The 24,599-nt window shown below is 37.5% G+C and overlaps 1 protein-coding gene across 10 annotated transcripts in view, besides 1 other annotated feature; it reads right to left on the bottom strand.

Moving 5' to 3' along the window:
- USP3 (ubiquitin specific peptidase 3) overlaps positions 1 to 24,599 on the bottom strand; it is a 90,041-nt gene that overhangs the window by 59,770 nt on the left and 5,672 nt on the right. For 2 of the 10 annotated variants that reach the window (NR_046341.2, XM_047433394.1), the window contains exons 2-3: positions 5,698 to 5,850; positions 2,157 to 2,217 (exon numbers count right to left, since the gene is read on the bottom strand). Coding sequence is in view for 7 of the 10 variants with exons in the window: in XM_047433394.1 (XP_047289350.1) it covers positions 2,157 to 2,217; positions 5,698 to 5,722 (86 nt within the window). In the remaining 3 variants the exon portion in view is untranslated. Of the gene's footprint in view, positions 1 to 945; positions 1,062 to 2,156; positions 2,218 to 5,697; positions 5,851 to 6,171; positions 6,236 to 6,723; positions 22,889 to 24,599 lie in introns of those variants that run through there. The other 8 variants (NM_006537.4, NM_001256702.2, XM_047433393.1 and 5 more) reach the window with 7 other exon arrangements.
- Positions 3,880 to 3,929: an enhancer, noted in NCBI's record as "active region_9539". NCBI's record gives its function as "activates an Ori minimal core promoter by ATAC-STARR-seq in GM12878 lymphoblastoid cells {active_cell/tissue: GM12878}" and the evidence as "EXISTENCE:reporter gene assay evidence [ECO:0000049][PMID:35858748]".

Here is a 24,599-nt window from a genome sequence, read left to right as displayed (position 1 = left end):
CACCTATTCTTATCATATATATTTATAATACTAAACCATGAAAAACAACAGTAATTCATTGCTACAGTAATAATACTGAATAAGCACATTACCACTTGCACATTTTTGAGAACTCATCATCTTTACATAGTCCATTTAACTACAATGCTGTAGTTTCTAAATGTACTAGATGTTTAAATAGTTCCGGTGCATATCAGAGATAAACTAAGAAGTAGGAATACTGATATTAAGATTAGCAATGTTTTGCCTGATACCTAAATATATTAGTCGAAGAGGTTAACAGTTTTGTATAAACTAGCTAACAGGAAATTAAATATTTCCCTCATCTAGTTTTGGATTTTAACTAGACATTTTGGTCTACAGCACAAGAGGAAAAATTTCACTACATATGTCACAAATTTCTAATAACAATCACAAAAATTTGAAAAATAACTTAAATGGGATGGTGTCATGAAGACCAGCAGAATTTATAACCCATATATGCTATTGATAAACTATGTTTCCTAGTGGGAAGAATATTCACTTTACGATTTCCCTAAAGACAAGCAGTCTAAAATTACCAAAAAATCAATAAATTTGGCAATCAACACCTGGGATTACATGATAAAAGAATATTAACCAATCAGCTATGTAAAATGGAGATCCAAATTCAGGCTATTCTGAATTTTCTGTTTAATCTACTTCATCACATTTCTCCAAAACTATGTCAAATTTCTAAATTTAAGCTTGTTTGCAATTGACAACAGTCCACCTGCAGAGGCTAGAAATTTTTCCATTTATTTTTCCAAAACCTATTTTAGTTTGTTGTTTAAGAACATTAATCTCTAATTTTTGAGTTTGTCAGGTCTTTTGATTGGCACATGACCATCAAGATTTAGGTTGTAGAGCACTACGAGACTTCTGGAGAACAGAACTACATAAATTTTATTGCATTATAATTCTCACCTCTCAAAATCTAGGAGAGGAATCTGTCTCTTCAACTGCAGAATTTAAGTGCTTCTACTTTTCTTCTTTTTTAAAAAAAAGTTATCTGTACAAAGTATTTTCAGGTTCCCCAAATCCTAGAGATTTCAAAACCACAACAGCCACAATTAAGAAATGCAGTTAACATTTTCCAAAGGTACTCTTAAGTGCACATGGAAAAAATACTCAATTCCAGGACTCAAAATGTGAAAAATCAAAACTTCACTGAACAAAGAAAGATGCTCTCTTCATGCAATGAGGATTTAAAAATAACAATGGGGAAATATTCTGGATAAATACAATATAGATTTCAGCCTATGGGACTCAGTATGATTTCTCATTTCCTTACTGCTAAGCTATTAACTTCTAAAGTAAATTCAAAGTAGATTTTCTAAGCTAGAAGAGCAGTGGAAATAAATGTGCTGCTACCAGGCAAAAAACCACAGACAATATACTTGAGTTTGTGCTAGAAGAGTTACTATTTAAATAATATTATTTTGAGGCCAAGAACTGGGAAGAAATGCTCAGGTTTAAACTGGGGTGGGGTGAGGTAGAAGATGTTGTCCATAGAAAGTAGTATTTTAATGGAACAATGAAACATTTGGTATATCTTAGGAATTAATAATGAACTCCACAATGAGATCATTTTCAAAAGGAATTCGTTTATCTGTAAATATTTTAAGGGTTTTTTTCTTTCCCAGAAGAATGATATCATACCTGGGATTTGATACAAAAGTCAGTAGAGGTGGGGATGGGGTAGGTAATAGGTGAAAAAAGATTGCCATGTGTTGATAATTGCTGGGTGAATGGGACATGGGGTTCAATTATACCATCTCTATGTTTGTGTGTGCTTAAATTTTACCCTAATAAAAGGTTTAAAAAACAACCATTAGGTAAATTTGTACTTCAAGAATTCCCTTAGCTCATCTTTCCACTCAAATATTATTAGCAGATTGTCTTGGTCATCAAACTAATTCTTCTGAGTATCAATACGAAGAGTTTTTCTCCCCTAGATGTTTTCCCCAGTTGTATCACAGAACAAAGGGATTCAACTGGAGAAGGAAGCCCTACAGGGAATTATGCATTATGATTAACAATGGTACTAAATCCAAATCAATAAAACTCTGACATAAAGCTTAAAGACAAATTTTAAAAAGCAAATAGGTCAGTGAAGTAATAAGTATGTCACCTACCTTCCACAGTGGACACTTGAACAAGTCAAACAGACCCAAGGGCTTTTGTTGGACCGGCACACTAATAAAAAGAAAAATACACAATATACCAATTGCATCATGTTATTTCCCAATTTCTCCCCATTTTCCTGTGATTAAGTTATAAATTCCATGGCTATGTAGGAATGCTGAAGTTGCAAATCCGTGCTTTGTGAATGCATTTACACAAAATGGCTGCCTAATTAAGTTATACTGAAAAGAATTTAAATGCATGTCCACAACAGCGGCTCATTTTAATTGCTGACTCAACCCAAATAGCTTAACCACGTTAAACACATATACACTTGTCTCCTTTATTACTTATTCCCTTTTGCTACAGTCTCTGACAAGTTAACGACAGTCTATTTTCCTATTAAAAAACATTTTTTAAGTCTAGTCATTTAATCACATGTCATTGCCATGTAGGTCATAGACCACTACAAATGACAATTCTTTCAGTTTATTTACTAAGAGGCACAACATAAGGTTACAATTAGGAAATCTGAGCCTAGTTTTCCCAAAGTAATTCTTAGTTGCATAAAATATATGACAACTGCACATAATTCTTGCTGATGGTATAATCAAGACATTAATGATTTTAGTTGATGTATTATAGTGGTGGGGAAGGCAAGAAGGTATGGAAATGAAATATTGATTAAAATTTTGCTTGCTGTCTACTCATTCATTTTTTAATAAGTCCTATATAAGTAACAATGATATTTAAAAGGGAGGGATATCAAAATCACCTGGAAAGCTTTTTGAAAACACCTATGTTCTACTCAAGGTTATCTACATTGGCGTGGGGAAGGAAGTACAAAGAACATGTATATTTTGCGCAAAGTAGCTTCCCAGGTGACTTCCTAATACAGCCCCTTGGGAGCCACTAGTCAGCCTCCTAGAGGCATGGGAGGAGCACTGCAGCACAACCACACAGGATCATAGTAACCACCTAGCACGTTGTAGATGCTCAATAAATATTTGTGGAAGAGAAAGTTTAAATTTCTTAGTTTAGGATACCCATCTCTTCCAAGATCTGATCTCTACCTACATTTCTCTTGCCCAATCCCGTATCACAACAGGCCTTTCTCACTGTTAAAAAAAAATTAACCGAAACTGGAAATAAGGTGAATGGAGAACTGTAAGCCCTTTCAGCGTACACTGAAACACTGTTTAATAGCTCCTCCCAAAGATAGTTAATTATAGTACCACTGACCTGCTTACTTGACCAGGACCCAAATTCTATGAAATTACAGGTAATGGAGTTTTTACATAATTTCTGTCCAGCAGACTCCAAAGGTTACAATTATACTACCCTGTAGGATATTAACCAGTTTTGTATCTAACCTACCAATTTTATTTCAATGTTTTTTTCTTCACTGTCTATACACACTCAGTTCCCAAATACTCTTGGAGCCAGCTTTACCATCTTACTACTGGTTCCCTCATTAATGAGTTAAATAAATCTTTGACTATGTTCATCCTATATTTGCATGAGAGGAGGGGACAGGAGGTGAGAATAGGAGAGCACAGTGATTACTGCCTGAGGGACTCTACAGTTTGGCCAGTACAGAACTTTAGTTTTGAACATGAAAGCTTTGAGTGGTGAAATCCCCTTCTAGTTGCCAAAGGCCTTCCCTTTTCTTAGTGCATTCGCATATTTACATTCAGTATGAGGGCCATCCTTGAAGGCACTGAAGGCATTTTTTACTCAACTGGGTCTAATTTTGTTACATGTGCACGTAAACCACATGACAGAAAGGTGCGGAAGAATACCTACCAAACTGCTAAAACAACTCTGTTAGGCAGGTACTTGGGAAGACTTATTGTGAGGGAGACTGCTGGCTTTTTATTTGTACTCCCCTATGGTGTTTGCCTTACAGCAATGAGAATATGATGTTTTTACAGTTTGAAGAGAAAGCCCAATAAAATGTATCTTACAAAATAAAAAGTAAACTAGTACACAGCTTACTTGAACAGCTATTCATGGTTTGAGGTATGATTTGGAGTACTGAGATATTATGAATATTTTGTTTCTCCAGTAAAGCTTTTTTCTCTTAGTAAATATTAAGAACTTTGGGGCCAGGTGCACTGGTACGTGCCTGTAGTCCCAACACTTTGGGAGGCCGAGGCAGGCAGATTGCTTGAGTCCAGGAGTTCGAGACCAGCTTTGGTAAAATGGTGAAACTCCATCTCTACAAAAAATACAAAAATTAGCCGGGTGTGGTGGCACGTGCCTACAGTCTCAGCCACGTGGGAGGATCAATTGAGCCCAGGAAGGTGAAGCTGCAGTGAGATATGACTGCACTACTGCACTCTAGTTTGGGTGACAGAGCAAACTGTGCCTCAGGAAAAAAAAAAAAAAAGATGGATGTAAGGAATGAAGGAAGGAAGGAAGGGAGGGAAGGAGGGAGGGAGGGAGGCAGGGAGGGAGGGAAGGAAGGATGACGGTAACTCAAATCTGGGAGAAAAAAACTCTTATAGGTTAATATTATCCTGAAATAATTACGTTACAATAGTAAGTTTAGGCCCAAGGTTGTGTTTTTGTTTTGTTTTGAGAAAGGGTCTCACTCTGTCGCCCAGGCTGGATTGCAGTGGCATGATCACAGCTCACTACAACCTCTGCCTCCCAGGCTCAATTGATCCTCCCACCTCAGCCTCCAGAGTAGCAGGGACTACAGGCATCTGCCACCACGCCTGGCTAATTTTCTGTTTTTCTTTTTGGTAGAGACAGGGTCTCACTATGTTGCCTAGACTGGTCTTGAATCCCTTAGCTCAAGCAATCCTCCCTGCCTCAGCCTCCCAAAGTGCCCAGATTATAGGTATGAGCCTCTGCACCTGGCCTAGGCCCAAGTTTTTAACTACCCAGGATATTTTTTTAATTATGGAGGATTTTTGTCCCTCCTTTGTACGAGGAAAAAGAAATCTGGAGCAGAATCCCTGTGACTTTGCTTTGGGTATGTTTCCTACCAAGTGTTCCTTTCTTCCTCACTTTAGGGTTGTAAACCTACACACAGTACACACAATTTGGTGATCTCCTTTTCCCCACTCAAGGTGCATGAACACATTTCTTCATGTTCCTGCATTTAGAACAGGGTATTATAAAGCTAGTCTTATAATATCAACTATCTCACAAGGCTTTAATTTTTTTTAATTTCTCAATTCAATAACACATTTTAAAAAACCAAAAAACTCTAAGACTGAGGGGGTCAAGAGAATGGGAAGTAACTGTTTAATTGGTATAGAGTTTATTTTGGGGTTATGAAAATGTTTCGGAACTAGATAGAGATGGTACTTGTAAAACAATTGTGGATGTACTAAACGCCACTGAATTGTTCACTTTAAGATGGTTAACTTTATGTTATGTGAATTGTGCATCAATTAGACAGACAGATACGTAATGATAAGGAGAGAAAGTAAAAGGGAATAAAGTACTGACTTCCAAAATCATTGGAAACAAGTGACTATGGACTGTGCCTTTTAATATATCTCAAAAAAAAGAAAAAAAAAAAAACCACTTTACTACCTGCCAAGTGTGGTGGTGATTGCATCTGTAGTCCCAGCTACTTGGGAGGCTGAGGCAGAAGAATCACTTGAGCCTAGAGTTCGAGGCCAGCCTGGGCAACATACAGTACTCTCTGAGGGCATAATACAGTCACACCAGATAAACATTTGAAGGCTAGAAAGATACAGAGGATAGGGTATTATGAGGGATTCTGAAGCCAATAAATGGCATTGCTTTGGGGAATATTCACTCTGTTTATACATGCTTCATCCAAATTAAGAACCTTTAATGTACCCAGGACAAATATAAAATAGACTGAAAAACACTGGCTTTAAATTAAACTCTCAATTATTGTTAAGAAGAGAACAGGTAATTGTACAAATAAAAGAATACTACAGATAATCTTAAAACCATTTATTTTAATCACCTTTAGGGGGACTATCTTATTATAAAAGGTAGTTTCAATTTATAGATAGATGAGATTCAAAAGTTTACCTGCAGGATAAACACATTTCCCATGGAAACAGTATTAAAGGTTTCCAGGGTCGTCTGTAAAGCCCTAAATGAAACATAATATAGCTGAAATACTCATATACACACACATACTGATACCCACACAATAAAACCACACAGTAATAAAAATATTTTTAGGCTCTGAATATAGTATCTATTTAGCAAAACATAAAAATGTTAAACCAAAGTGTTTATTTTTTTAGTCTTAAATGCTGGTACATGAGAGAAAGGGTGATAAGGATAGACACTTGTGAAGGCTTAAAAAGTTAAGTCTGGGAATTTATAAGGGCTCTTTAATACATCCAATTACACTTCAAGGTGATGTCAGGGAAAAGGAAGCCATGCAATTTATTTCTCACACTTGGCCATAGCGGTGTGACTGGGAGTCTCATAAGTGAAACTCATCTTTTACTCAGATTGTAAAATTTCCTCAAACCAAGATACCCCGTCCTCCAGCAAATTTCTTCGGTTTACTTGGATTCTTCCAACCCTGACTGCAGTGTCTCACTTCTCAGTCCAGAGGCTGATACTCACTAGGCTCCTTTCACTGCCTCCTCTTCAGCTACGGCTTCAGAATCTTCCTCTGTCCCTGTTCTCACCTCAGCCTCAAGCTCTTCAAGATGGCAGGAGGGCTCCTTTGCATGGAGGAGATGAAGAAGCTCTATCCTCTCCTGAGCTAGAGCCATTCTCCAGAAGGTAGAAGCTATCACATATGCTGGGCCATGGAGAGGGTGGGAAGAGCCCCAGCCTCTAAAACATGTCTCAGACTCAAGTCTTCCTCCTAAAACCACTTAAACATTTAACTCTCCTGAAAACCAGATGAGAACCGAAGGCACACAAAGGCATCTAAGTGACCTAGAGGCCAAAAGTGGTTTAGTCCGTGCTATACGGAAGGGCAGATGGCCCTTTATCAAGAGAGACCGGAGCAGAAACCAGGGAGTTCTGTGCCTATAGAGGCCTAATTAATCCATGCATCTTTTCAGGTTGTGTTCACAAGAAAAGGAGTTCTTAAAACAAAAGCACATCCACACTGAATATGTTATTTCTACATAGCCACTGATCTTCAATATCCTGTTAGTATGCATACAGAGAATCTCATAATAGAGGATATTTGATATTCGAGGCCTACCAACAAGTCTGGAATTCTAAATTTTTGGACAAAACATCATACATGACCGCTTATGACACAACTTCATCACTGTCTCTACACAGAATAGTTTAAGCACATGGCACTGACAGGTAAGCCATTTATAGTGCATCCATTATTCACAGCTGTTTCAACTGGGAGAGAAGGCTCTTTTTCTTCTCAAGAATTCAGAAAGATGAGGATCAGATGACCGGGATTCTAGTTCTGGCTCTACCATTACTAGCTACAGAAGAGAGAACATCACTACCATTCTGGGTCTATTTCCTTAGTGTAAAATGAAGAGTAGGTGATGATCATGTCCCCTCTAAATTATAAAATTATTCAAAGAACATGCTGGGCACAGTGGCTCACACCTGTAATCCCAGCACTTTGGGAGGCCAAGGTGGGAGGATTGCTTGAGCCCAGGAGTTCAAGACCAGCCCGGGCAACACAGGGAAACCCCATATCTACTAAAAATAAAAAAAGATTAGGCGGGCATGGTGGTGCACACCTGTGGTCCCTGCTGCTCCGGAGGCTGAGGCGGGAGAATCCCGTGAGCCCAGGAAGTCAAGGCTGCAGTGAGTCGAGATCACACCACTGCACTCCAGTCTGGGCGACAAAGCAAGACCCTGTCTCAAAGTAAAATAATTTAAAGAACATAAGGACTGGCAAAAGTTAGATGAAACAATCATATCATCATCCCCCATAAATAAAATCCTTCCAACTCTACTTTCTGCCTAAGTCTCTTAAAAGGCTTAACAAAAAGATTAACTGCTAATGTAGTATAATTTTCTAAACCAATGGTTTTCAAGTTTTTTCTTGCCTCCCATCATCCCTGAGACACAAACACATTGCCCATCAGTAACAGCAACTCACTGCAACAAGGGTGTGGGAAGTATGTGGAATCACTGTTCAAGATCATTACAGACAAACATGCTGCTACAACAGTGAAACTCAAGAACCACCCGCCTACACAATTTTTAAAGTGCAACACTCTAAAAATATTAGCAACCCATAAGGAAACATCTAGGATATGTTTTTTAAGCAAGTTCATTTTCATTTAGTTAACATTTATATAGTACATACTGTGTGCTATATACAGGTGCTAATTAATCTTCTACAATCCAATGAGGTACAGACCATCATTTGGTCTGTTTTACAGAAGAGGAAACTGAGGCACAGAGCAGTACTGTAACTTGCTAAATTACTAAGTGATAGGGCTGGAAATTAAACTCATAGAGTGTTTCAAGGCACTGACTGTTGCAAAGCAGTCGTCCAGGAAACTAAAACTTTTGTTTTAAAAAGATAACATGCTATGTGTTTCTGAGTCTATGTATGTACTACATACCGGCATATAAATTTTTTAAAGACTGGAAGTAGCTGTTATCAGCTATGTAAAAGGAATAACATGGGGATAGGAGCCACTATACTGTTAAAAGTTTTTCAAACAGCATTATTTCTTTTATAATAAAAATTAAATTTAAAGTGTTTTAAATTTAAAGATACTGGTATTATAAAGTCCTAATAAAATGAACTTATTCTAAATTTTCAAGCATGAGTGGAAAGTTAAATCAAAATCCAAGATTATAGCTCTATGGATTTGTAAAATTATAATCAATGAAAATTTTGAAATTTTGCAGCAGTTATTAAAACACACACATACATCGTGAAAGTATCAATAGTAAAACTGTTATTCCTCTTAAAACTGGAGGATAGGGCAGTATCATCATAAAAATTCTATAAACATTCCAGTACATATAAGTAAAAATATATTCCAGACGGACCTAACTTACCTTCCAAATGAAACATTTTTAGATGCTTAAAAGCAAGACATAAAATCTTCTGTACACTATAAATCCTCTCTGAACTGCATGTTCACAAGCCTATTCTATGCTGAAATTTCAGAAGTCTCTTCTATCTATAACTTGAGTCCCTTGAAATTATTAGGGGGAGGAGTTGGTAAAGTCACAAAAAGAGAGCAAGAACTGAGCCATAATGTAATCCAGAAAAGAAGGAATCAAGCTACATGAAGCAACTGCCAAGGTGCCCAGGCAGTCCGAGGGCAGCCAAAATCAGTGTCTGATGTCTCCCCAGCCCCAACAATGCTGCTCATTCTGAAAGAGGATGGTTAGGTTCCCAGGGAACAGGGCAACAGGAGAGTTCTCATAAAGGGCAACAGGAGATACTTAGGGTCAAAGGGGTGACCAATATAGAGCTTGGGAAGCCAACCAGAGGTCCTGATACTGGGGAGGAGACCAGGCATGAGCACCAAATCCAAAGTGGTCAGAAGTGGCCACCTGGGACTCAAGGGCAAGATCACAGAACCAAGACTGAATTCAGGTCCAAGGCAGGAAAGATAAAATTATGAAGCAAAGTTTATCTTGGTTGCCTTTCCACTTTCCCATGAAAAATTTTTCCACTTTCCTCCTTCTGGGGGCTCTCTTTTGCCTCTATCCCTTTCTTATTCCTGACAATCAGTCTCTTCTGAATCATTATATAAAGTAGGCTTACATTTGCTGGTAAAGTCAGTTCAGCATTTCTTGTAACAACCCTCTCCTTTTTGCTTAATGGCCTTGTGGTAGATTAAAGATGGCCACAAATTCTTTGACATTCTTCCCATGGAGAGACAGGGTCTATGTCCTCATTCTCCGAATCTGGGCAGGCTCTGTGACTGCCCCAACGCACTGAATATGGCAGAAGTGATTCTATGTCAACCTGCAACTCCAGGCCTTATGAAATCCACAGCTCCCTCTTGCTATTGCTTGAAATGCTTGCTCTTGGGAGAGCCAGCCGCCATGTAAGAAGTCTAATTACCCAGAGACCAACATGCTGAGAGAAGCCCAAACCATGTGCAGGGAGACTGGGGAGATTATGACACCACTGGGGGACAGAGAGACACCAAGGAGCACAGAGGTACCAGACAGGTGAGTTAAGAAGACTCCAGAACATCCTCCTCCAAAGTGTCTTCTTAACACACGTCTGGTAACTCTGTGAGTCCACGTTCTCCACCTGATGCAATCCCAGGCAAGTTCTTCCTGAATTCTTGGCCCACAAAATTATAAGCAAAATGAAATGGTTGCTTTAGGCTTCTAGGATGTATGGCTGTTTGTCATGCAGCAACAGATAACCAGACCACCACTTAACAGAGGGAGCAGTATCAGTGATGCAGCATCATCCACACCCACCAAACAACTCACTGGAATGACTGACCTGTTGTTTAGGAAAAGTGAGGATGCAAAAGAAACTTCAGAAGGTTTTACCCAGTAGGATTCAAAGCTATCCAATGACTATACTACTCCCTCTACAACAGAAGTAGTGAGAGTAAAGACTTGATATTTATCTTCAACTAAGCTGCCACTGTCCTTTGGACTAAATCTTTGTGTATCACATCAATATTTTAATAACTCAAATCTAGATGTGCCACCTCTATCTCAGGACAACCTAATTCTTGAGCACAAACATCATTCCTAACAATAACTCAGTAACAAGTAAGTTTAAAACCTTCAAATTTTCAAAAGCACTATTTCCATAGAAATCCCAAATTCTAGGTAAAGATTCTTAAGAAAGTGCCATAAACAGTGGCAGAAATTCCTTTTGTCTTCATTAAAAGGCACAAATCCTTATCCTTCCTTCCTTTTGCTTCTTTGGATTATGTTACTTAATAAGCATTCTAGGAAACCCCAGGCTTTACTGAAGGTTGAACTTGGAAAAATGCTTCTAAATAATTACAAGACTTGAGAACATTACTCATTCTGCTTCTATTTCTCTTTACCCCAAGAGTTCTGACATATTCCTCAGCCAGCATGACTTGATCCCCATCATGCCCAGCAATGCCTGATCCCAGGCCTTTGTAAGCTGGAACTACTCACAATTTTCTCACAAAATTCCTAGCAAATTGTTCCACAACTGACCTAAAAAGGAAGGGGCACAGTGACCAGGAAACTCTGCTCCACATTGTTTTAGCTGAACTAGCCAAATTCCTTTATCACCTGCCCTTGAACCCTTCGAGAAGAATTCCTTCCCTCTTTTATACAAAAATGTACCAAACAGAATGAGTTGCCTTTGTAGGAATTTGTTCCACTGCAGACTCAAAATAAATATGATACAGGTCATGTGACTTGTATCAAGCACGGGCTTCAGAACCAACTGTCTTAAAGTTGTAGCTCTACTATTTTATTCTATGACCTTACGCTAAGTTCGTTCCAGAGCCTGCCTCCTCTCTGTGAAATGGGTCAAATCCCACCTTCTACCTCACATGGCTATGGTAAAGATTTCATGAGATAAACTACATAAAGTGCACACAGCACAGGGCCTAATCAACGGAAAGCACTCAGTGAATGTCAGTTCCATTCCCTCAAAATCCTCCTACACCAGAATTAAATTAAATTATATTCAAAACACCAAATACTCAATTTTAATAAGCTTATTTCAAAATTGATGTAACTGTTATAACCACCTTAAATGTCAGAATCATTAAATTTTACGTATCTAATGTAAAATACTTCAGGAAAAATGCATTTTAGAAGCACATTTTAACAGATAAGGTTTAGATAATAGAATGCCACTCAGGTAAAACATTTAAGTACAGAAGCAACTCAAGTGTCAAAACTTTATTAGAATACATCAAACTCAGAAGTATTCAGAAAAGACATTAAATCCTGGTTCACTAATCTCATCAACCATAATATACCCTTGGTATCTACTTCATTTAGTGCACTGCCAGTACATTATCAGTATAGCAATGAATAAAATGTCAAAATTCAAATGAACAAAGATGCTAAGTTCTTTAATGTGAACTGTTCTATATTCCAATATCCAATAAAATGGGGTTACAAGCCAAGTCACTTAGAAATACATTTTAATTTCTAACTTTGTTTTAGCAAAGAAGTGAGTAAGAATTTCATATCACACCAGATTTAAGATATGGTTATCAGCTTATCTTTATGGACAAGTAGGTTTTAACCTCTACCCTAAATAATTCAATTCCTCTTCACTCTATTACCTGGTTCTCTTTAAGGAGCAATATCCTTGGTTTAGCAACATCCTTAGAGGCTAATTTTGAGACTGTGCTTTAGCCTACTTTCCCAACCTTTCCCATGTCAGGGCACGCATAGAAAATATCTGTATGACACATGCACATTAACTGAAGAGGCTTCTCACAGCCAGAAATGATTTGTCTGGGAGCACAGCCACCTCTAGGCTGAGGGGATCATTTATTTCAACACATATGTAATCCACTTGTGGCCCCTCTGATGGGAAGCTATGCTAGCCAACCTTTTACGTGGTTATCTAGCAATGCAGGAGGACGTCTCCCTTCTACTCCAATGTTCACTAGCTGGAACAAAAGACTAGAAGTCATTAATCGCCTGAGAGGACTGGGCACAGTGGCTCATGCCTGTAATCCCAACACTTTGGGAGGCCAAGGCAGGAGGATCGCCTGAGACCAGGAGTTCCAGATCAGCCTGGGCAATATAGTGAGACCTCGCCTCTACAACGGGAAAATAACTTGAGCGTGGAAGGTAAGGGCTGCTGTGAGCTAAGATAGCGCCACTGCACTCCAGCCTGGGCAACAAAGCAAGATTTTGTCTCAAATAAACAAATCACCGGAGGAGACCAGCAGCAGCATCTGGGAATCCAAGATGCCATTCCTCTGACGATCTACAGTTCATAACCATCAATCCTCTGAGGCCTATCAGAGAAAACAGATGCTGAAATCCTTATTTCTATCCCATGTATAATTGTCTTGTCCTACTGCCATTCTATAACTCCAGGGAGTGGCCACTCAACAGTTCAACATGAAGGAACCTCTTGTGAATTAAATTAAATGGAAGAGAGAAGTATCCGAAACAGCTGGTCTGAGCCGAGCTGACAGAAAAGCACTGATGAGTGTGTACAAGGAACAGTTAACTGCTTAAAATGAACCCTGACCCAGGGCCTATGATCGGCTACTACTTGACTAAAAATGTCCCCAAGGCTACTTCCAGCTCTCTAATTTCAAGGTTTCCCAACAGAAAAATAATTACGATAGATAAGTATTTCACTTCAACAGCCTTGGATACATTTCTAAGACCACAGTGGAAGTGTGGAGTAGGCAGACAAATAGCTTGAAGTATTATCTTACATATTGCTGCTCACACAATTAAAAAGTTAATTTTTTTGTGTGTTCTTCCCTGAAGATACCTGATAATACAAAAATATCTTTGTACAAGGGTATTAACTGCTGCATTATTTGTAACTACAAATATTGGAAACAACCTAAATGCCCACATATAGGAGATGGGTTGAATTCACTGTCGCACATCCACAGATGGAGTACTAGAAGCTGTTTTAAAAAAGAGAATAAGGAAAATTCCTACAAACATGGAGTGACATCCAGGATATACAGCTAAATGAAAAAAAAAAAAAGTCCAAAAGAATGTATCTAGTTTGCTATCTTTTGTGAGGGAAAAAAAGAAAATACCCACCTGCTTTTCTTTACAAAAAGAAACACAGGAAAGATCAATCAGAAATTAATGAAATTGGTTGTCTACAGGGGGTGGGTAGGAGTGAGCGGCCGGCATTAGGTAGTGACATTGCTTAGCACAGCTTTTTGTGTAGTTTTAACTTTTGGAACCATGATAATGTTTTATATACTCAAAAAGCAAAATAAAATCAGTAAGGATGAGATTTTAAAAATCTTAAAATGGGGCCAGGCATGGTGGCTCATGCCTGTAATCCTAGCACTTTGGGAGGCCAAGGTGAGCAGATCACTTGAGGTCAGGAGTTCAAGACCAGCCTGCCAACATGGTGAAACCCTGTCTCTACTAAAAATACAAAAATTGGCCGGACATGGTGGCCCACGCCTGTAATCCCAGCCACTCGGGAGGCTGAGGCAGGAGAATCGATTGAACCTGGGAGGCGGAGGCTGCAGTGAGCCGAGATTGCATCATTGCACTCCGGCCTGGGGACAAGAGCAAAACTCCATCTCAAAAAAAAAAAAAAAAAAAAAAAAAAATCTAAAACAGAAATCAAACAAACAAATGAACAAACTTTATGTTAAATAAGTGTATTAAAAGGGAGACTAAAACTAAACCAAATAGCTTTTTAACATAGTACTTTTTATGTTTTCAGTATACAGACAAAAAGAACTGTAAACAAATTTGAACTTGAGTTATAAGGGGTTTTCTTTACAATGGTATGGGTTAGCAATTCTGGAACTATTTTCTCTGATTATAGAATTGTGCAAATGAGTACACACTCATTGTAGATAATGGGAACCAGTTCTTACTGTTGGAGAAAGGTGTTACAAATATGGAAAGGGGCAAGACTAGGCTTGTGGTGTTGAATGAAATTGTAGGTATCAGTATAAAATCATGGTGATAAACACACAAATACACACAGACATAAACAGATGTAGATATGCTTATTTATTTATATTTCTCAGCTCTACTGTGCTGAGAGATCTTAGTTTATAAACATTATTCCCAGCCAAAAAGAATGAGGGCTACTTGGAGAAATGGCTAATTCCAAGGCTGCAACAGGCTAAGTACAAGATGAGCCTGGAACATCTTGTGCGAGAAAGTAAAAAGGGCTCAAAGAATGACGGCGCGTGCCCAAATCACAGCTTAAGGGTGCTCCCACCAGCTAAATATAAGCTAATTTGAGCCTCAAAATAAATAATGATGAGTACCTTAGAATAAAAAAAAACCGAGTGCTTATTAAGATAAGTAAGCAAATTAATAGTAAGCAGGGGAGAAAGTTCTTTCTTATAGCAGAATGCCAACTAACATGTAAAAGAATTACGAGTCAGAAAATCATCACCTTGCAATCATCCTACTAATAACTGATTCAGGCAAGAATCATCAATGGATGTGAAACTACTGGGTAAAACTTTGGTAAGAAACGAGGTATATACATAATCTAAAAACATTTCCCACAAATTACTTCTTAATAGCAAAGGAGAAAATAGTAACTTTATAGCTGATTAACCTACCAAATATTACCTTAATAAAGTAATCAAAGTTAGTATCACCAAAAACAAGACAGACCAACTCTTGATATGATGCCTGAGAAGACACAACATTACTTTTGTGGTATTCCTACCAAAAATGCATTACCTGAATCTAACCATGAAGAAACCTCTGAAAACTCAAACTGAAGAACATTTTATAAAATAACTGAAATGAACTCTTCAAAAATAACAAGACATTATGATGTTAGAATAGAAAAAAAAAAAGCCAAAAGCCAAGACATGAAAAACAAAGGCTGAGGAACTATTGGAGATGAAAGAAAACTAAAGAGCTATGACAACTAAATATAACACATGATCCTGGATTAGATCCAGGGTGGCTGGGGAGGTAAACAGAAAGGAGTAATAGCTATGAAGGCCATTGTTGGGACAATTGAGGAAATCTGAACATGGAATGTGCATTAGGTAACAGCATTCTATCAGTATCAACTGTCCTGATTTGACCAATATTCTCTGCTGATTGAAAAGAAAGACCCGGCCAGGCGCGGTGGCTCACGCTTGTAATCCCAGCACTTTGGGATGCTGAGGCGGGCAGATCATGAGGTCAAGAGATCCAGACCATCCTGGTTAACACGGTGAAACCCCATATCTACTAAAAATACAAAAAATTAGCCGGGCGTGGTGGTGAGTGCCAGTAGTCCCAGCTACTCAGGAGGCTGAGGCAGGAGAATGCTGTGAACCTGGGAGGCGGAGCTTGCAGTGAGCCGAGATCACGCCACTGCACTCCAGCCTGGGCAACGGAGCAAGACTCCGTCCCAAAAAAAAAAGAGACCTGTTCTTGGGGAAAAACAAAACTATGGATAAAGGAGTGTTATATCTGTAAATTAATAAGGGGAAATATATAAACAGAGAGTAAATATATACATGATAAAACAAATGAGGCAAAATGTGAACGACTGGCAAATCTAAGTATACGGAAGTTCTTTGTATGTACTATTCTTAGCAGTGTTTCTCTGAGTATAAAATTATATCAAAATCAAAAGTCTTTTTAAATTCTGAGATTAAAAATCTGTGTCCTTTACTTCCAATTAAGATCATACTTTTTAAAAACTAAAACACAAGGGAGAAGGTTAAATTACCAATGTACAGAGCCAAAAATCCTATAAACCTGGCACTAACTTGCCTTCATTAATGAATGATGAGCTAGTCCAATAAAAGTATTACAATGCATTAACTGCAGTAGTCCCAATGACCTTACAACTTTCTTTCACAGGCATATACCTATCCAAAGCCTGGCTTGTGATCTGACTTTCCAAGCAAGGTCGAACCCCCTGGCTTGCCTATTTTCTCTGCTGACTCTGATAACAGCAACAATATTTTGTTCTATTTATCAGAGAAGGTAAATCTGAATATAAATTTTTATTCAAATAGATTAATGTAAAATTTCAGTTCAATGATTTAACTCTGAGTAACTAATAAGATCCATTTCTGATAGGGCAAAACACTGTGCCCTAAAAACAGGATTACAAATGATATACATTTAAAAATGGACACTAAACTAAACGTGGCAAATTCTACTTAGCTCTTCTCCCACCTAAGACCCACTTAAATGACAATAAAGGAAAAAAACAGATACAAACCCACAAAGATAAAGAGAACAGTGTGAGGTAACCAAAGCAGACAAAAGATTTCAACAGCTTTTTGTAAGTGAGAAAGAAGTTAGGGGAGCAATAACAATCTTAGTAGTGCAGAGGAAGCTATGGCCTGAGTGTCAGCCAGGAAGAATGCAGATGGGAGGAGCTCTAGGTATAGGGACACAGCAGACAGCAGGTAAGGACAGGACTGAACACAAGGAGACTAGGGACTCTAAGGACAACTGAGTCATGGAACTTCTGCAATCTGATCTCAGAACATCAGTGGCCAGGTGCCCACCTCCCAGAGGGAAAACCGAAAAACTCAATGGTACCAGAAAAAATTCTCAGCACAGATATGAGTGTCTTCCTCCAATGAAGGTGACTTGCTCCCCACCTCACAGTGAAGCCCACTGTGGACAAGCCCCACCCAGTTACAAAGCTTTTTACATGAAAAAGTTCACTGTTATATGAAAAGACAAAGACAAAACAGATCTTTATAGAAAACCTCCAATCTGAAAGAATCATTTTAAAAAGAAAAAGAGGAACCCAGGAGAAATAGAAACCATACAGGGAGCACAGCAAAACTTCAAAACCAACATACTCTGAACTGCTGGAGTGGTAAGAGAAGATACTGCAAAACAATAGCAAGAGGATATGTGAAAAAGGAATGATTGGGAAATGAGAAAGAGCTCTTAAAATTTTTAAATACAATGATCAAAATTCAACAGAAGGAATGGAAGAAAAAATATCAAGGAAATTGGGGGGAGTGGGGAGGGATAGCATTAGGAGATATACCTAATGTTAAATAAGCCTAATGACGAGTTAATGGGTGCAGCACACCAACATGGCACATGTATACATATATAACTTACCTGCACATTGTGCACATGTACCCTAAAACTTAAAGTATAATATAATAAAAAAAAAAATCAAGGAAATATACCAGAAACTAGAACCAAAAGGCAAAGAAATAAGAAAATCAGAGACTACACTCAGGACACCCAACATCCAACTAATAAGAGTTCCAGAAAGAAAAAAAAGAATAAATTGGGGGATATAAGTATGGGGGGAGGAGCACACTATCAAATTTATAGTACAAAAAAATGTCTTTTAACTCAAGGATGTGAACCTATACATAAAAAAATCCCTTCACTTCCTATTAAAAATAAAATAAAAAAAAAACTACCCATGCCCAGCCATATTTTGAAATTTCAGAATACAGAGGATGAAAAGAATACCTTAAAGAATTATAGGAAAAAGAATAAAAGGACATATGTGGAGGAGGAAATCAGGAAGGCATCAGGTTTCTCAACAGCAACTCTGGGAGCCTAGAAACAAACCAACAATGCCTTTAAAACTCTAAAGGAAAATTATTTTCTTACTAATATTTTCTATTCAGCCAAGCAATCAAGTATAAAGGTAAAATAAAAATGTCAGACTTGCAAAGGCTCAAAAATTTACCTCCCTTAATGTGCCATGCAATTAGAGAAAAAAAAATTACCTCCTGTGAGAAAGGAGCTTGATGTACTCCAGCAAAACAATGAAATAAACCAAGAAAAACAAGACATGGGATCCAAGAAATAAGGGATCTAATATTATAAGAGAACAACAGAGGGAATCACACGATAAAAACTGTCCAGCCTGGAGAACTATTTCAAATGACAGCAGAGGTCAGAGGGCTCTGGAAAGGATTTTAGAAAAGAGTTAGTGCTTGGAGATTATCTAATCCGTTGAATGGGTTAAAAAATAATATTCACAGACCTTTGACAGGTTTAAAGGAACATTTAAGAGAAAATGTGTCTAAGGTAAACTAAGCAATTTTTAAAAGAGGCAATTATTGACTCAAGAAAAAATAAAATGTTGGACAAGAAAGAAAAATGAATCACTATAGTAACCAAAATATGTAATCTAATTATATTGGGAAATGGAGAGACTGAAGGGCAAGTGGTGCAAACACTGAAGTCTTCATTTACCACAGCAAGATATCAAGGAATAATACCTAAAAATGACAAATTAAGAAATAACAGAGCATTGGTTAGAATTATGCAGGTAAATATGAGAGAGAATGCTAAATAGAGCCTACAGAGATTGTCTGTGGACAGCAGGACTGAGAGTGGAGGCGAGGAAGACTAAAATTCTATTTTAAGCCCTTTGATACTATTACCTGTCTCTGTATATTTCAGAAATGTGTATTACTGTTCTGAAAACATGAATTAATCTTCATATGGTAAATTGATGTAACATAACAATTCATGAAATTGCTCAATTTTTATCTTTTTTATTAAAAAGTCTAAAATATATTACACAGCATAAAAATTAGAATAGCAGTTTATCATTTGGGGTCAGGCACCTACTGAATTCCTTATTCCCACTGCAGAGTTAATGATATGTGTCCTCCACTAGCAAATGTAATTTCAAAGCTGGCCAAAACTTGTCATCTATATGTTAAGAGATCCAGATACCTACAGAGCCAAAGAAGAGAGGGGCATCTGGTCCTGCTGACTTCCCACACAGAGGCAAATTCTGGTCCACGGGGCTGCCCCCAACCCCCAACTGGCTGTAGCATTTTACTCTATTTTTAAATGGATTCCTTATGCTTTCACCATGAAATGGAAACAACATATAGAAACAATGTGTGTGAAACAACATATTCTCAAAAACTGTAATGCACTAAACAAATTTGTTATGGTTCCTTCTACCACAAATTCAGACTTATTCAGACCTATTTTGGTGAAAAACACCTAATGAAGCTATTATGCCACTCTTGATCTTCATTTTAAATACTGGAACTGGGCTCCTCCTACCTCTAAACGAGGGGAAAGGATAGTGGGAGGAAGGATAAAAACCACTAAAGCCAAAGGAGATTACTAAATCAGAGTCAAAATGGGCCATTTTTGCCTTTGGAAGACCAGACACAAATAGCTTCAAAAAATTATTAGGAGCTCAAATTGTTTCAAAAATAACTTTCCCTATGAAGCTGATCATATAGAAAATAAAAACAAAAGCCATGAACTACTTAAAAATTCTGACATCTAATATCTTCATTTATTTAATACAGCAAGATCTGATGCAATTCCATGCTGTTGCCAACAACCTGAGTAAGCAAGTCCATGGTGAAACAGTGGTGGCACTTCAAAAGACATGAATCAGGTCATAAATGTAAACACCACTCAACTATTATTTCAAAATAATAGTTGCAAGTGTATGCAATATAAGAAAAGACTCGTATATATTTAAGGAAGCACCCCCTCTCACAAGTAAATAAAATAATTAAGAGGTTTAGGGACCTCTTAACATCAAAGACTTTCCTTGGAGAACAATAGGCTTAATATCTGCATTGTACAATTCTCTTCCTCATTCTCTGTGGTTATGTAATAAAGGTTAACACTAAAGTACAAAGTGGAGGGGGAAAAAGTACCACACTTGTACTTACTGGGAAACTCTTTATTCTTTTAAAATCAACGGGACTTATTTTGAAGAAATAGAAAAAAGAAATACAAACTTGGCAAATACGTATACTCTGCCCGAGGGATAGATAATCAATATTTCAGAAAACAGGCACCTGCAAACTCCAAAACCATTAACTATTTCAGTTTTTCTAAATAGCTGTTCTAATTATTTAACCAAAACCAAGAGTCGGAATTTTTTTTTACAATCGATAGAATTTTCAAACATGACCCACATTTTCCCAAAAATCTGTATTATATATTCGAAGAAAAAAACTAGAAATACATATATTTTTTAAATGAGGCTCTAAAAAAAACTATATATAAACAAAACATTCAAAGCAAATAAAATGAAACTAACGCATTTAAGCTCTCAGAATTAAATTCTCATGGCACGAATGTTGAGGTCTGGCAGCTACTTCATACACTTAAGGTGAAGTCTGATCCTTCAGTTTTTATAAAGCAATTTCTCCAATGCTAAAGCATCTCACTATTAATATCCAAAATAATTCACATGGAAATAAGAGTTAATCTTAATGAAACCAAAGAACATTTTACTGTGTGCAACTAAAATTAAAATTTGCTCAACCAGCAATTTGTACCATTGTTGCTCCCACAGTCTCTATATTATACAGTTATTTTTTAAATGCCTAATATAGTAGAACATTTTTCTAACATGTCATCCATCGATTATCTCAGGGAAACATTCCAAGTCAGAAATTTGTTTTCTAGAAATTTCAACTTGATATTCAAAAACTTTAATCAAAATATTACTCCGGCATTGTGCAACAAATGTTCAAAACAAAGTAATGAACAATTTAAATCTATTATTTAAAAAAGAAAACCCACCCAGACTGGTGGCTCATATCTGTAATCCCAGCACTTTGGGAGGCTGAGGTGGAAAGATCACTCAGAGTCAGAAGTTCAAGACCTGGGTAACATCGAGACCCTATCTCTACAAAAAAATTTAAAAATTAGCTGAGCGTGGTGGCACATGCCTGGAGTCCCAGCTACTTGGGAGGCTGAAGTGGAAGGATCACTTAAGCCCGCGAGTTCCAGGCTGTAACGAGCTATGACTGCACCACTGCACTCCAGACTGGGTGACAGAGTGAGACTCCATTTCCAAAAAATAAATAAATAAGCAAAAATAAAAACCTGAGCTTGGTCATCAAGGACAAAGATTTAAAGAAGGTAGAACAATAACTGTACTTTCTTATAATCAGTTAAATTAAACCTGCGGGAATATGACAGTTAATTTCCAGCCTGCTTTTTCTGGTGATGAGGCAGTACAAGAACAGTCCATAAAATTAAGTGTCTTCAGGGTGGGTGAAGGATAAACAGGCCAACAATTTCTACAAAGAAGGCTGTCTTAAACCCAGCTAGAACAAAGAAAAAATAACAGGAGAAAACTTCTACTCAAGAATGGAAACAGCTCACACTGATAGAGCTACTGGATTCTAAAGCAGAGTACAAAGTCTCCAAATAAAATCTAGTTGGTTACAATATCTTTGATATAACCTGGCTTATCTTAAAAATAAACTCACAATTCCCTCTTCAAAGGGTCTTATAAAATTATATTAGCTAGTATTTATTAATTGTGAAGCATCTAACTAATGCAAACACTTAAGACAACTGCAAATTTGATTTTTCAATGTTCAAGTTTAATTTCAACAGTTTTCAAAATCTGAAATTGCCTTCCTAAATTCATCTGCATTGTATACATCCATAAAGAGCACACACTGAAAAGATACACTTCCTTGTATCTTAAGAAAGGGGGAGGCCTGGTGCAGTGGCTCACACCTGTAATCCCAGTATTTTGGGAGGCCGAGGCAGGTGGATCACAAGGTCAGGAGTTCAAGACCAGCCTGGCCAACACAGTGAAACCCCGTCTCTACTAAAAACACAAAAATTAGCCAGGCATGGTGGTGGCTGCCTGTAATTCCAACTACTTGGGAGGCTGAAGCAGGAGAATCACTTGAACCTGGGAGTGGAGGTTTCGGTGAGCTGAGATCGTGCCACTGCACTCCAGCCTGGCCAAAGAGTGAGATTCCGAAGAAGAAGAAAGAAGAAAGAAAAAGAAGGAAGAAAGAAGAAAGAAAAAGAAAGAAGAAAGAAGAAGAAGGAAGAAAGAAGAAAAAGAAAGAAGAAAGAAGAAAGAAGAAGAAGAGGAAGAGGAGGAAGAGGAGGAAGAGGAAGAAGAGGAAGAAGAAGAAGAGGAGGAAGAAGAAGAGGAAGAAGAGGAAGAAGAAGAAGAGGGGAAATCTGTTTTAAGATCTGCAGTTACTGGCTAGGCACGGAGGCTCACACATGTAATCCCAGCACTTTGGGAGGCCAAGGCAGGAGGATCACGAGGTCAGGAATTTGAGTGAAACCCTGACTCTACTAAAGATACAAAAAATTAGCCGGGTATGGTGGTGTGCGTCTGTAATCCCAGCCACTCAGGAGGCTGAGGCAAAGAATTACTTGAGCCCGAGAGGCGGAGGTTGCAGTGAGACAAGATCGTGCCATCACACTCCAGCCTGGGGAACAGGGTGAGACTCCATCTCAAAAAAAAAAAAAAAAAAAAAGATCTGCAGTTACTAGTTTTAGTTTTTATGGTCTAAAGACTATAACTTTTACAGGAAATACAATTGGAAAATCTTAGAATAACTAAATGGAATCAACAAAGTATACTGACTAAAAGCAAAGATTTCAAATAATCTCTGAGCTACCAGAAGCAAATGCAAAATTCTATACCTTAAGAATTCTCTCCTTCCTCCACCCTACAACAAACCACCTCCAAGAAGAATCTTCTCTAACAGAAACAAAATGAAAAAATAAGGGGGGTGGAGAGACTTCAATAACTGAAACCCATTTTAAAAATAACCAAAAGCTAATTGCATTTTATCCATAGCTATAGTGAGGAGGCTGGTTTATTATGTCTGAACTAATGCAATATGAATTTCGGCCTATAAAAATATTAGATCTGAGTATAACAAGGTTGACATTTAAAATAGTTGTTTCTTCCAAACTATATCACCAATTCCTTGTTCCAACTTGCCAGCACTTTCAATATTAAATTGGGTGAGGGGGGTAACAAAAGACCAAATTTTAAAATAAGTAATTTTTGAGATGTGGAACTTAAAATATATTTTCATATCAAAAATCTTCAAAGGAATTATTTAAAGTATGTGTTCCAAACATTTTGTATTTTTTAAATTGTCAAGCATTAAGTTACTGAATAACAAAATAAAGACTCTTTTTTTTTTTTTTTTAAGAAAAAGCAAGCTAAAAGTCTGAACAGTGTTAGAGTTTAAGCTTTGGGCTATCTTTAATACTCCCCAAGCATCTTGGGCAACTCGTAACCTTTGTCTCAGTTTCATAATCAATAAAATAGGAAAAACTACAAGGATGAATAATTAATTAAATTAGTCAGGATTAAATGCTAGCAAACTGCTTTGAAGTTACTTTATGTTGTTCTCAGTTATCTTCCTACTCAGTAAAACTAATAGATGAGAAAACATCTGGAATTACTATAGATAATCACATCTGCAGACTCACAGCAGTTAAAAAGACGATCTCTACAAATTTCTAAGCCAAAGTTCATTCAACGACCCCAAAGATTTTAAGATACAACCACAATGAACAATTTTAGGTGAATTTCTTTTCAGTCTCAAGGACACCTATTCTTACCTACATTCTCAAAAGAAACCACTACACAGAAATCTCAGAGCATCTTGAGGGGTCTTGGCACAAGACAATTCTAGGTAAGATGAACAAGCTGTTACTGTTGTTAATGCTATTCTCAGCATTCTAAACTGTCAATCAAGGTAAGCTTAATCACAAACACACCCTCCAAAAAGTACTAGCCCCTACTGAGAACCCATCAAAGTACTTCCTTCCAAGCCATCTGTCCAGGAAAGCTCTATTAACACACCTAGAATGCAATTGCTCTCCTGTCTAAAGAGGCAATGAATAAACATAAAATATCAAAATATGTTAAACAGCATACCTTTTCCACTTCAAACAATGATAATCTACCGACTAAATCTATTTATTTCAATGCCTTGGTTGAACACAAACCTGTATGTATGTAGGTCAGAGACTGCAGCTTAATCAAAGGAGACTAACATTTTGTTTTCAAAGAAGGAAAAATATTAAAAACAAACAAACAAGCTCAAGAAGGGGAGAAAAGCTCAAAAAGAAAAAAAACGAGCAGGTTAGGTTAGGGGAAATGTACATGTTAATCAGCTCCTGATGGAAGAGGGACTCAAATT

The sequence above is a fragment of the Homo sapiens genome, chromosome 15 (genome assembly GCF_000001405.40).
Source record: "Homo sapiens chromosome 15, GRCh38.p14 Primary Assembly".
NCBI lineage: Eukaryota > Metazoa > Chordata > Mammalia > Primates > Hominidae > Homo > Homo sapiens.
The sequence above is the reverse complement of the archived record's forward strand: the minus strand, read 5'-3'. Positions and strand labels throughout refer to the sequence as shown.